General features: G+C 44.2%; 1 protein-coding gene and 1 long non-coding RNA gene across 14 annotated transcripts in view; one reads left to right on the top strand and one right to left on the bottom strand.

The window, feature by feature from the left end:
- Window positions 1-13,378, top strand: part of LOC105372255 (uncharacterized) — a 74,099-nt gene that overhangs the window by 11,432 nt on the left and 49,289 nt on the right. For both annotated transcript variants that reach the window (NR_187772.1, NR_187773.1), the window contains exon 2: window positions 11,650-11,817. This is a non-coding gene — a long non-coding RNA (uncharacterized LOC105372255). The remainder of the gene's footprint in view (window positions 1-11,649; window positions 11,818-13,378) is intronic.
- The window catches only part of ACSBG2 (acyl-CoA synthetase bubblegum family member 2), a 57,459-nt gene that overhangs the window by 4,999 nt on the left and 39,082 nt on the right, over window positions 1-13,378 (bottom strand). For 8 of the 12 annotated variants that reach the window (NM_001289180.2, NM_001289177.2, NM_030924.5 and 5 more), the window contains 6 exons: window positions 10,697-10,864; window positions 5,161-5,342; window positions 4,821-5,054; window positions 2,440-2,657; window positions 671-810; window positions 248-494 (listed from right to left, as the gene is read on the bottom strand). In NM_001289180.2, the coding sequence (NP_001276109.1) occupies window positions 248-494; window positions 671-810; window positions 2,440-2,657; window positions 4,821-5,054; window positions 5,161-5,342; window positions 10,697-10,864 (1,189 nt within the window). Of the gene's footprint in view, window positions 1-247; window positions 495-670; window positions 811-2,439; window positions 2,658-4,820; window positions 5,055-5,160; window positions 5,343-10,696; window positions 10,865-12,663; window positions 12,803-13,378 lie in introns of those variants that run through there. The other 4 variants (XM_011528329.2, NM_001289179.2, XM_005259653.4 and 1 more) reach the window with 4 other exon arrangements.

Raw genomic sequence — 13,378 nt, 5'->3', positions numbered from 1 at the left:
AGAGTTGGTGCAGAGTGAATGAAAGGTCAGCAGGCGAGAGATTGTATAGAGCTATAGTAAGGAGGTTGGATTTTATTTCCAAGATGAGGAGCTGGGGACCAGTTAGCTGAAGGTGGCAGCCTCCCTCTCCTGGTCCCTGGCTGGTTTCATAGACCCTCTGACCTTCAGAAAAGGACCTGTCTCTTCAGAGCCCACACAGTCCCAGATGCTAACAAGGGACCAGCCTCCAAATGTCATGGCCACTCACCTAGCTCTCCACCATAGATGGAAAAGTCCTTCTCCAAGATGACCCACTTTTCAATCCTCTGTGCATTGTTCATGGCTTCCTGGTTCACAGCATTGATGCCTTGCTGGATGGCCTTGTAGACCAGGGGGTCTTGCTGCTTCACAATCTCAGTCACGGTGGATGCCTGGCTGCCCAGACCCCGACAGAAGTTGATGGCCTCGAAGTTCAGCTTGTCCAGAGGTTCTCCGCTCATCTGATTCATCTCACACTGCCCCCAGACACCTCTGTCACCACCCATGCTCCTTGACCAGCACCCCTCCCCAGGCCCACAGACCAAGAAGTGGGTCTTGAACCCACAGATGCATCCTCTTGACCCTGGGGTGGGGCCAGGGAACCCAAGACCGGCTGCAGAGACTTCCCCCAATGACAGCAAACCCATGTTACCTTCAGCGTCAGCAACATGCTCAGAAACTTCAGTTTATCTCCTACTAACATGGCGTTACTGATGATGGGGATCTTCTTCTTAACCAAGGTCTCAACAGGAATGGGGGGCACATTTTCACCACCAGCAGTGATAAGGATTTCTGGAACAGAGCTTGGCTTGGTACATGTCCAGCCATGACAACGTGGAACCCCCAGTTTGAGACCAGCCTGGCCAACATGGTGAAACCCCGTCTCTACTAAATATACAAAAATTAGCCAGGTTTGGTGGTGTGCACCTGTAATCCCAGCTACTCGGGAGGTTGAGGCAGGAGAATCACTTGAACCTGGGAGGCGGAGGTTGCAGTGAGCTGAGATCATGCCACCGCACTCCAACCTGGGCAACAAGAGTGAAACACCATCTCAAAAAAAAAAAAAAAAAAACCTAGTGGCCAGGCACAGTGGCTCACACCTGTAATCCTGCCACTTTGGGAGGCTGAGGTGGGCAGATCACTTGAGCCCACAAGTGCTAGACCAACCTGGGCAACACAGTGAAATTGGGTCTCTGCAAAAAAATAGCCGGGTGTGGTGGCACACGCCTGTAGTCCTAGTTACTCAGGAGGCTGAGGTGGGAGAATCACCTGAGCCTGGGAAGTTGAGGCCACAGTGAGTCATAATTGGACCACTGCATTCCAGCCTGGCCAACAGAGCGAGACCTTCTCTGAAAAATAAAATAGTACCAGCACAGAGGAAAACTCAAGAAAAGAATTTTAAAATTCCTTATGACCTCATTTTGGCACCCAGATCCAGCCATGCCTGAAGCCAGCTGACCTTTTGGCCAACTGACCTTTTCAGTTACGTTGAGTCAACAGTTTTGCTTTTTATTTTTTTCCTCAAACCTATTTAAACCCATCTTAAATGGGTTTGAGTAAAAAAGCACTAAGTGTTCTCCATCAGATTTTGGCAAACTATGGCCCATAGTGGCCAAATCCAGGCCACTATTCAATTTTGTATAACCAAAAGCTAAAAATGAATTTTACATTTTTAAGTTGTTGGAAGTCAAAAGAAGAATTTTTTTTGACACATAAAAATTATGATATTCATATTGGCAGCTGGCCACACCCATTCTTTATGTGTTGTCAACAGCTGTTTTTGTGCTACAAATCACAGAGTTGAGAAGCTACAACAGAGACACATGTTTTGTGAACCCAAAAATATTTACTAAAGGGCCCTCTTCAGGAAAAGTTGGCTTATCCTTGTTCTATACTTTCTTCAATCCTTACAACTCTGTCGATTATTATCCTCTTAAAATGCAGGAGAAGATGGCACTTTTTTACTCAAGCCCATTTGAACCAGCTTGAATGAGTTTGAGTTAAAAAAAAAAAAAAGTAAAACTGTTGGCTCAATATAACTGAAAAGTTCAAAAGGTCTTTGGCTTTCAGATATGGCTGGATCCAGGTGCCAAAATGATGTCACAAGGAATTTCTTTATCCTTCTCTTACTGAGTTTTCCTCTGGGCTGGTGCTATTCTGAAAGGGGCTTCAGGAGGTTCCAAGGCTTGTCTTTTGCAGGTCCATCCTCCTGAGGGTGGACCACGGGATACCAAGTGACCAAGGGGTAACTGTTTGCTGGACAGGAGGATAGAGCTGGGTTGTACAGACTGAGGAGTTTCTGCACAGCTCCTCTTGGAAGGTGAGGAACTGGGGGTGGCCTTCGTGCTGGTACCCTGGGCCCTTAAATGTTCAGGGTGGGCCTGCTTGCAGGAGATTCCCAAAGAGCTCAGCCCCTGGTACCTTTGATGTGGCCGGTGACATAGAGGAAACCCAGACCGTCCAGCTGGCCCAGATCCCCAGAGTGTAGCCAGCCTTCATCATCGATGGCCTCTGTAGTTTCAGTCTCACTTTCCAGATAGCCCATGAAGATGTGCCTACCCCAGAGGCAGATCTCCCCAATGCCATCCTTGTTCTGCTGGAACAGCATATTCTTACACCCAGTCAAGATCTTGCCACAGCTGCCAGGGGACAGAAGCAGAGAAACAGGCTCATAGGGACAAAGTCAGCCACCCAGCTCTGCCTGGATCTTCAGCCTAGGTGCCTAATACTCTGCTCAGCTAGAGCAGGCTGGATATGCACCCCAGCGCACAGAAGGAGGTGTTTGCTGCAGTGTTTAATCCAGCGTGTCAGATTCCCAAAGGCTTTGTGAACTGGGAAACCTAGCAGTGGCCAGGTGTGGTGGCTCACACCTGTAATCTTAACACTTTGGAAAGCCGAGGAGGGAATATTGCTCGAGCCCAGGAGTTCCAAGACCAACCTGGGCAACATACGGAGACCCCGTCTCTACAAAAATAATAAAAAATAAAAGTTGGGCATGGTGGTACATACCTGTGGTCCCAGCTACTTGGGAGGCTGAGGTGGGAGAATCACCTGAGCCCAGGAGGTCAAGGCTGCAGTGAGTAGTGATCACGCCACTGTACTCCAGCCTGGGCGACAGAGCAAGACTCTGTCTCAAAAAACAAAAACAAAAACAAAAACAAAAAATGAAAGAAAATCCAGCAGCATTGCAGGCTGTTTTTCGTTTTTTTTTTTTTTTTTTTTTTTTTTTTTTTTTTTTTTTTCATCTCCACATATGCCGGCAAAGAAAAAAATGCCTTTGGCTTAAAGATAGGAACAAAACCCTCATTTTAAAGAAAACAGGTAGACCTCTCTGCAGTGATTAGGACAGCTAATTTTAAGTACGGCAACCAACTACAATCTCTTTAGAGGTAAAAGTTACTTTCATAAAACAGAGTAGCACTATTTGAAATCTGGGTTCTTTGTCTTTTTTTTTTTTTTTCCTAGAGATAGCACTGGCCAGTGCAGTTCTAGGATGCAGGAAAGGAAATATTTTCTCCGTGTGTTGCTGAGATCTCTTTGATTAACAGTTAGCAAGGCCAATGGTCCCAGGGTTAAATGTAGGTATTCCCCTGGTTAGCAAAAGAAAAAATGAAGACAGACCTGAGAAATTTAAAACTTACAAAGAGCTGCCTTATGATTTCCCCCACTGAAGCCTTTTTAGGTATATAGAAAAATCCAGAAGCCATAAGAGATCGATAAGTTCAACCATCTAAATTTGTGACCACAAATTTCTGCACAGTAAAAAACATCTTAACTAAAATCAAAATACCAATGACAAGCCAGGGGATAAAATATTTGTAACTCATATGAAAGACAAAGGGCTGATTTTCCTAATATGTAAAGAGTGCCAACAAACCAATAATAAAGGGACCAATAATCTAATTTTTAAAACAGGCAGATAATATGGACAGACAGCTCATAGGAAAGGAAGTACAAATGACTTTTAAATGTATGGCAATGCTGGGCATGGTGGTTCATGCCTGTAATCCCAGCGCTTTGGGAGGCTGAGGATTGCTTGAGTCCAGGAATTCAAGGCCAGCCTAGGCAACATGGCAAGACCCCATCTCTACAAAAAAACTTTTACAGAATTGCCAAGCATGGAGGCTCATGCGTGTAGTCCTAGCTAGTTGGGAGGCTGAGGCAGGAGGAATGCTTGAATCCAGAAGTTCAAGGTTACAGTGATCTATGATTGTACCATTGCACTCCAGCCTGGGCAACAAAGTGAGACCCTATCTCTAATTAAAATTTAATAAATAAACACATGTATGAAAAGATTTTTTCAAACCTCACCCATGCTAAAAGGAGGGAGTCAGGGAGAGACACAACCAGAAGATTCTATGACTGACAGCTCTCAGATGGGGAGTTGAACCTCAATTTGGTATTCTTAAAGTTTTCTTATCATTGGGTTCAACCTTGCAGCCTAGGGCAAGCTGAGCTTGGGAGAAAGCCAGGAATCGGCCATGGAGGTGTTTTGAGATGGAGGATCATGGGGATGAAAGGTGCTGAGGTCACAGGCGGTGACCTTGAAGGCAGAACTCACAAGTGACAAACGGGGAGACCATGGAATGTTCAGAGAGCCATCCCCCTTATCTGTGGGCTCTCTTACCATCCAGGGTTTCCCACGGTCATGCGGAGTTAGGACTTGGAGGCTGGAGAACAGGATCATTCTGGAGACACCACGTCAGGATTCCTCTTAACCCAGAGGCCCATCTATCCACCCACCTTCCCCCTCTTGACCCCATGTTATGGGAGGAGCAGGGGTCTGCCCCGGGGGCTGGTACCTTAGAAGCCTGTAGTTATTCTGGTTGGATATCGTGTGGGGTCCCGAGCTCTCACTCAACCCATACAACTCGCCTATAGGTATGTCCAAGCTTAGAAAGAACTCGGCAGTCTCTTGGTTGAGGGGCGCAGTCCCACTGATAAAAGAGTGACAGTGATCCAAGCCAAGGGATGTCTTGACTTTGCTGAACACGAGAGTCTTAGCCATGCGGTAGCTCACGGGAGTATTATATTTCCTGTGAATAAGAATGCCGTCAAGTGGAGAAGGGCTGATGGGACCCACTGGAGAAGGCTGAGCCTCCTCACCAACTACCCTCCCAGCCCTCTGGATGCTCCACCTACCCCAACATCTTTTTTGAGTTGACCTTGAAGCCAATGTTTCTTGCCCACACGAATGCCTTCTTCTTCAAGCCCATGGACTTGGCACTATTTTTCTTCACCATCTCATGTATCTTCTCCCAAATTTGAGGCACTCCAATGAAGACAGTAGGTTTTACCTCCTTTAGAGTACTTACCAAGGTGCCCTGTATGGAACGAAGCTAGGTTAGCCACAGCAGGGCCTTCCGTGCACCAGGGATGTCCATCTCTCCTGATCCACCCAACTTTGCCCAAGAGAACATTCCTTCACTGATCAGATTACGCAGGACTCCCAACCAAAAGGAGACAACCCATTAGCTGGGTTGGCCAGTCAGATTTTTGCACTCTGTCTAGGGATTTGATGAGAGGCATAAACTGGTAAAATATTTTTGGAAGGTAACATGACAGTTCTATTAACATTTTAAGTGCAACCTGTCAACTTCACTTCTGTGGGTGAAGGAATTCAGCTGAAGGAAAGACTCAGGCACACAAAGAAACACGTTCAAGACGTTCTTTGCAACACTGTTTTGTAACAGAATGGAAACAGCTTACAGGTTCAATGACAAAGGGTTGGCTAAAGAAACTGTGGTCCAAGCATGCAGTGGAATATTACACAACTGTTAAAAAAGGATGCAAGATTCTCCCCCAAAGAGACCTATAGGTTCAATGCAACCCCTATCGAAATCTAGGCAAGTTTTTTTTTTTTTAAATACAAATTGACAAGCTGACTTTAAAATTTATATAGAAATGCAGAGGACCTAGAATAGCCCAAGCAATTTTGGAAAAGAAAGACAAAATTGGAGGACTTACTACCTGATTTTAAAATTTATTCTAAAGTAGGGTGAACAACCGTCCTGGTTTACCCAGAACTGCAGGAATATCTGAAATGTGAAACTTTCTGTTTTAAAACTGGGGAAGTCCCAGGCAAACCAGGAAACGTTAGCCATCCTGCTATCAAGCTAGTGTAATAAGTCAGTGAGGCTTTGGCGTAAAGACAGAGATGCAGATCAGTGGAACAAAATAGAAGATCCAGAAATAAAACCTTAAATTTATGCTCAGTTGATTTTCAACAAAATGCCAAGGAAATTTCGTTGGGGGGGGGGGCGGGTGGGGACTATTCAAATGCAAAACAAAATAAAACAAACAAACGCTTCCACAAAATTTAGGGTTAGAGCCTTATTTCTCACCAAACATGAAAATTACCTCAAAATGCATTATAGCCCTAAATGTAAGAGCTCAAACTAAAAACCTTTTGGAAGAAAACGTAGAAGAAAATCCCTGTGACTTTAGAGTAGGCAAAGATTTCCTAGATATGATACCAAAAGCATAAAAGAAAATAGATAAATCAAACTTCATCCAACTTAAACACTTTTTCCTCTTCAAAAGATTATTGAGGAAACAACAAGCCATAGAACTGGGAGAAAGTATTTGCAAACCACAAATTTGGTAAAGGATTTGTAACCAGAATATATAAAGAACCCTTAACACTCAACAATGAGATTAGATATGCAACCAATTTTTTTCATTTTTAATTTTTTTCCTTTCTCCTTTCTTTCTTTTTCTTTCTTCCTTCCTTCCTTCCTCTTTTTTCCTCCCTCCTTCCTTTCTTTCCTTCTTTCTCCCCTCCCCTCCCCTCCCTTCCCCTCCCTTCTCTTCCCTTGCCTTCCTTTCCTTTCCTTTTTTTTTTTTTTTTTTTGACACAGTCTCCCTCTGTTGCCCCGGTTGGAGTCCAGTGGTACCATCTCGGCTCACTGCAGCCTTTGCCTCCCAGGTTTGAGCTATTCTCCTGTCTCAGCCTCCTGAGTAGCTGGGCTTACAGGTGCACACCACCACGCCTGGCTAATTTTTCTTTTTCTTTTTTTTTTTTTTTTTTAGTAGAGACGGAGGAGACGGAGTTTCACCATGTTGGCCAGGCTGGTCTTAAACTCTTGACCTTAAGCAATCTGCCTGCCTTGGCCTCCCAAAGTACTGGGATTACAGGCGTGAGCCGCCGTGCCTGGCTTTTACTTTTCTTTTTACTAGTCATGCTAGCACAGAAAGAGCAACCACATTTTTATATGGGCAAACTATTTGAACAGATTTCTTTTTCCAAAGAAGATATGTAAATGGTCAATAAACACATGAAGAGATGCTCACTATCATTAATCACCAAGGAAATGCAAATTAGAATGGCAATAATAATAATAAAACAGATAGTAACATGCGTTAGTGAAGATGTAGAGAAACTGTAACCTTCGCACATTTCTGGTGCACGTACTTCAGAAAACAATCTGGAAATTTCTGAAAATATTAAGACACTTTTGTCACTATTCAGATTGACAAGTTGTAAACATTTTGACAATATTAGGAGTTGGTAAGGATGTGGGAAAATGGGAACTTCTCAGGTCCTGTAGGTAAATGTGTATGTATTATGTATTCAGCCAAGAAAGGAAATATGTATTGAAGACCTAACACATCTCAGGCACTGAGCATGGGGCATATGAGAGGGATTGAGAGGGGCCAAGGAAATATTTAGCAGAGAGCTAAGTGACAAAGAAGAGTCAGCCCTGCAAAGAACAAGAGAAAGAACCTTCTAGAAGCACGTGCAAAGGCCCTAAGATTTAGCCTGCTTGATGGAGAGTGTGGGAGGCAAAATAATGGCCCCCTAAAGATGTCCACGTTCTAACTCCTGGGACCTGTGAATATGTAATCTTTCATGGCAAAAGGGACTTTGTAGATGGGATTAAGTTAAGAATCTTGAGATGGGAGATCATCCTGGATGATCTGGGTGGCCCAATGTCATCACAGGGTCCTTATAAGAGGGAAGCAGGAGAGGGGAAGAGGCTGCACTGCTGGCTGTGAAGATGGAGGAAGGGGCCCTGAGATAAGGAACATAGGTGGCCTCTAGAAGCTGGAAAAGGTCCCCAAGAGCCTCTAGAAGGAATGCAGCCCTGATGACATATTGATTTTAGCCCAGTGAGACCATTTTCAAACTTCTGACCACCAGAACTATAAGATAATAAATGGACCAGGCGCGCTTGCTTATGCCTGTAATCCCAGCATTTTGGGAGGCTGAGGCAAGCAGATCACTTGAGTTCAAGAGTTCAGGACCAGCCTTGCCAACATGGTGAAATCCCGTCTCTACTAAAAATACAAAAATTAGCTGGGCGTGGTGGTGCACGCCTGTAATCCCGGCTTGGGAGACTGAGACATGAGAATCGTTTAACCCGGAGGTGGAGGTTGCAGTGAGTTGAGATCATGCCACTGCCACTGCACTCCAGCCTGGGTGACAGAACGAGACTCCATTTCTAAATAAATAAATAAATATTGTTTTAAGTCACTAAGTTTCTGTTCATTTGTTGTGGCATTAACAGGAAACTAATTCAGAGAATGTAACTTGGGGAAAATGTCAGAGTTCTTTTCTGGCTCCGTTTGCAAAGTCTAGACATGTAGAAAATCACTGTAAAACAAATTAGTCAGGCATGGTGGCACATGCCTGTAGTTCTGGCTACAGGGGAGGCTGAGGTGGGAGGATCCTTTGAGCCCAGGAATTTAAGGCTGCAGTAAGCTATGATCATGCCACTGCATTCCAGGCTGGGTAACAGAGCACGACCTTGTCTCTAAAAAAAAAAAAAAAAAAAAAAATTTAGAAAAGAAATCAAAGTGTTCTTTCACATAACTACTTTGCAAAACCTACCAATGAATGATATCCAGCTAAATCAAGGAATAATCCAAAAAAGAAGGCAAAGACCCCAGAAAATAGGGGATCCAACCCAGGAGTGGGAAAAAGGGATATCCCTGTATGGCAGCTTGTAGAAGATGCTGTTGATGTCCTATCAGATCTCTAGTGGCCCACAGTTCCCTCTTTTCCAGAAAACCGCCCTTACTTAGAAATAACTGGGAAGTTATGCTCCCTATCCCACATGGATGCCTGAGCCCACAGCCAATGACTATCTGAGTTGGGGTTACAAAAGCACAGCCTCCTTGCCTCAAAGTGGAACAACTCTGGTGTCGTTCATGCCTCAGAGCTTCCTATGGGATCAGTCTGAAGTTACAATCCAGCTGAATGTGTGTCCTTTCTTGTTTTTTCCCCCAGCCTATCCTTCTCTCCTCACTTCCTTTTGGTTTTCACCTGAGAGCTCCCCATTGATAAATCACAAAGATCTCCAACTCAGATTTTGCTTCTAGGGTACCCAACCTAAGACAACCTAAAACAACAGTCCAGCTAAGTGCAAAAGGATGGAGGAAAAAAATAATGCAATGGAGCTGGGTGCAGTGGCTCATGCCTGTAATCCCAGCACTTTGGGAGGCCAAGGCTCACCTGAGGTCAGGAGTTTGAGACCAGTCTGGCCAAAATTGTGAAACCCCATCTCTACTAAAAATACAAAAATCAGCCAGGCATGGTGGCACAGGCCTGCAGTTCCAGCTACTTGGGAGGCTAAGGCACGAGAATTGCTTGAACCCGGAAGACAGAGGTTGCAGTGGGCCGAGATCATGGCACTGTAACTCCAGCCTGGGCAACAGAGCAAGACTCTATCTCAAATAATAATAATAATAATAATAATGCAATGAATATTTGAACATTTGGAGACTATTGATAAGCATGTGACAGATCAGATGGAGCAACTGGACATGTATGCAAAAACTTCACCAAACTGGAAAAGAAAGGCAACTTAATTCTGGGAAAAACAAAAAGTTGTACCAAGCAGGAAGTGGAATCATATGATAAACTACTTGGCTCAGTTAACTAAGAATAATTTATGTTGAGAGAATGGGGAAGGAGAAATGAGAAGACGGGAGAGGAAGGGAGCTAAATCCTCACCACAATAGAAAGGCAAAAGATAATACTTAAAGGGTATAAGTCAAGAAAAGGTGGTATAAAAATTCTACAAATATATGCATAATCCCAGTAAGTGGAATAAAATGAAGACCACAAACAACATCTTATCAATTCAGATCAGACTTTGCTGCCAAAAACTCCTGTTTTTTGGAGCTTTTTAGATTTGGGAATACTGACTTATAAACACACACACACACACACACACACACACACACACACACACTCTTTACTTTCAGTACCAAGTACATCTTTGTCTTGGGTTGTTCAGTGTTCAATCTACATAACCATACATGGATGCCCTGACTTGGATAAAGATAAAAACTAGGAGAATGTAGCCAGCTGGTTAAAAAAAAAAAAAAGTTGTTTTATTTGGTCAGGTGTTTTTTGTTTTTTAGAAAAATTTACTATTATTATTGGTTTTTGTAGAGATAGGGTTTCGCCATCTTGCTCAGGCTGGTCTCAACTCCTGAGCTCAAGCAATCTGCCCGTCTTGGCCTCCCAGAGTGCCGGGATTACAGATTGAGCCACTGTGCCTGGTCTTGTTTTTAATGCTTCTAAATAGAGCATTAAGATGAGGGCAGAGATAAAACCGTTAGACATGGGGCTTCACCCAAAAAATCTGTCGAATGATTAACAACCATCTACTCACCTGGGCTGCCCAAGAGGATGAAGTCGGAGCCCCAGGTCCTTACTCAATCTTACCTTGAGAGCATCTGCTTGAGCAAAGTATGTGAGCGCCCCAATCTTTATGGGTACCCAGATGTCCATCATCTGTGCTGCAATATGGCTGAGTGGGAGGTAGCTAACCACCGTCTCATGCTTGTCTGTCAGTTTAAAGTCCTTTGTCACTGCTCCTGCAATCCACGTGATCTGTAACATAAGGGACAATCCAAGGTGCCTCACCCTCATAGAAGGGCCATTTTATTTTTAAATTTTTATTTATTTTTCAGACAGGGCTCACCCAGACTGGAGTGCAGTGGTGTGATCACAGCTCACTGCAGCCTCAAACTCCTGGGTTCAAGGAATCTTCCCATCTCAGCCTCCTGAGTAACTGGTACTATAGGCACACACCACCACACCCAGCTAATTTTTTTTTAACTTTTTTTGTAGAGAGGGGGTCTCACTATGTTTTCCAGCTTGGCCTCAAACTCCTGGCCTCCAGCGACCTCCCGCCTCAGCCTCCCAAAGTGCTAGGTTTACAGATGTGAGCGACCATGCCCAGCCTGGAGGGCGATTTTAAATGTATTTAGCTAAATAAATAAACTAATTAAGTAAACACTTATAAAGCACCTACTATGACCAAGACACTGTCTTCATACTTTACAAACACCAAGTCATTTAATCATCATAACACCTGGGGGTTGGTAACTATAATTCTCCCAAAATTTTTGGAGCTTCACCCAAAAAATCTGTCGAATGATTAACAACCATCTACTCATCTGGGCTGCCCAAGAGGATGAAGTGGGGGCCCTAGGTCCTTATTCGATCTTACCTTGAGAGCATGTGCTTAAGCCTAAAGTATGTGAGTGCCCCGATCTTTATGGGTACCCAGATGTCCATTGTCTGTGCTGCAGTCTGGCTGAGTGCGTGTGTGTGTGTGTGTTGTTTTTTCATAAGTCAGTATAAGGCACCTTGGATTGTCCCTTATGTTACAGATCACGTGGATGGCAGGAGCAGTGGCAAAGGACTTTCAACTGACAGACAAGCATGAGATGGTGGTCAGCTACCTCCCACTCAGCCATATTGCAGCACAGATGATGGACATCTGGGTACCCATAAAGATTGGGGCGCTCACATACTTTGCTCAAGCAGATGCTCTCAAGGTAAGATCGAGTAAGGACCTGGGGCCCCCACTTCAGCCTCTTGGGTAGCCCAGGTGAGTAGATGGTTGTTAATCATTCGACAGATTTTTTTGGGTAAAGCCCTAGGTCTAACGGTTTTTTTAATCAGGGAGAATTATGTGAAAACAGAAGCACAGAGTCCTTAACTAACTTGCCTGAAGTTAGGAGGAGTTGCAAAATTTAGCAGGCAGCTTTAGGAGTAGGGAGGTTGCAGACTTCCTTGGGTCCAACGACAGAACTCAGAAAACTGGATTCAGCAAGTGTCCCAGAGTCAAACCCTGACTCCACTGTTTGCTAGACATTTGGGCTATTTCCTTAAAATCCCTCGTGGCTTTTATTGCCTCTTCTTTAAAGTGGGGACAGAGGCTTCTCAGGTCCAATATAGAACTATGGAACCAACATGGTCAAACAAACAAAAAGGCTACCCATAATCCCATCATATAAACACCCCAGTAATTAGCATTATTAGCATTTTTCTTTCTCCAATGCATATGTAGATGTAAAGTTTTAGTGTACCTATAATTTTGTCACTTATATTTCTCACTAGTGTCATAAATCTCTGGTGAATAGTTACTTCATTAATCCAGCCACCCAGACCTCCTCGCTGTTGCTCCAATGCATCAGGCATGGTCCAGCCTCAGGGCCTTTGGACTGGCTATTCCCCCTGCTTGGAATGCTCTTTCTTCAGCCTTTTCCCTCACCGTCCCCCACCCCCATGGCTGGCTACTTCTTGAACATTAAGTCTCAGCTGAAATGTCACTTCCTTAGAAGGGCCATCTCACACCATCTAAGGTGAAAGTGCCATTGACTGCCTAAGTCTGTACGTACCATGTCACACAAACTGAATGTTTTCATTTGTTCATTTCTTATCTGTTCCCAAGGTCCAGATTGAGTCTGTCTTGTTTGCTGCTGTTTCCCCTGCTCCTGGAATATTCCCCAGTACATACTAGGTGCTCAATGAATTTTTCTTGAATGAATGAGGAAATAGAAGGAATGGTTAACTGCAGTAAAGGACATAAAGCAGTCAGCCCAAAATATCCCTCAAGGCTAGTTCCACTTCTTTCCCTGGGCTCAGGATGAAGGCTCCCATAAACCTTGTCATGCACAGTCCAGGGTTCAAGGAACCTAGCACACTTGTTGAGAGAAGGGGCTTGTTGTGTATAGTCTATGATGTACAATGGTTTAGACACTCCTGGTTCAGATCTCAGTTCAGAGCTTCCCTTGCTCTGTGATCTTGACCAAGTAATTTCCTCTGTCTGAGCCTCAGTTTTCTCATCTGTAAAAGGGTTAGTGACAAAATTTTCCTCGTGGGGTTTTAGTGGGGAGTTAAAATGTGTTTATCTTAGCACTGAACATAGTGTTCCCTACACGGGAGAAACACTGAGCTGTAGACATCTGGCAAGAATCTAAGGCTACCTTTAACTTCTTGCTGTAAAGATGATGATGAGACAGGGCCTCACTCTGTCACCCAGGCTGGAGTGCAGTGGCAGCATCATAGCTCACTGCAGCCTCGAACTCCTGGGCTCAAGGGATCGTCTCACTT

This window comes from Homo sapiens, chromosome 19 (genome assembly GCF_000001405.40).
Source record: "Homo sapiens chromosome 19, GRCh38.p14 Primary Assembly".
NCBI classification, from domain to species: Eukaryota; Metazoa; Chordata; class Mammalia; order Primates; family Hominidae; genus Homo; species Homo sapiens.
The sequence above is the reverse complement of the archived record's forward strand: the minus strand, read 5'-3'. Positions and strand labels throughout refer to the sequence as shown.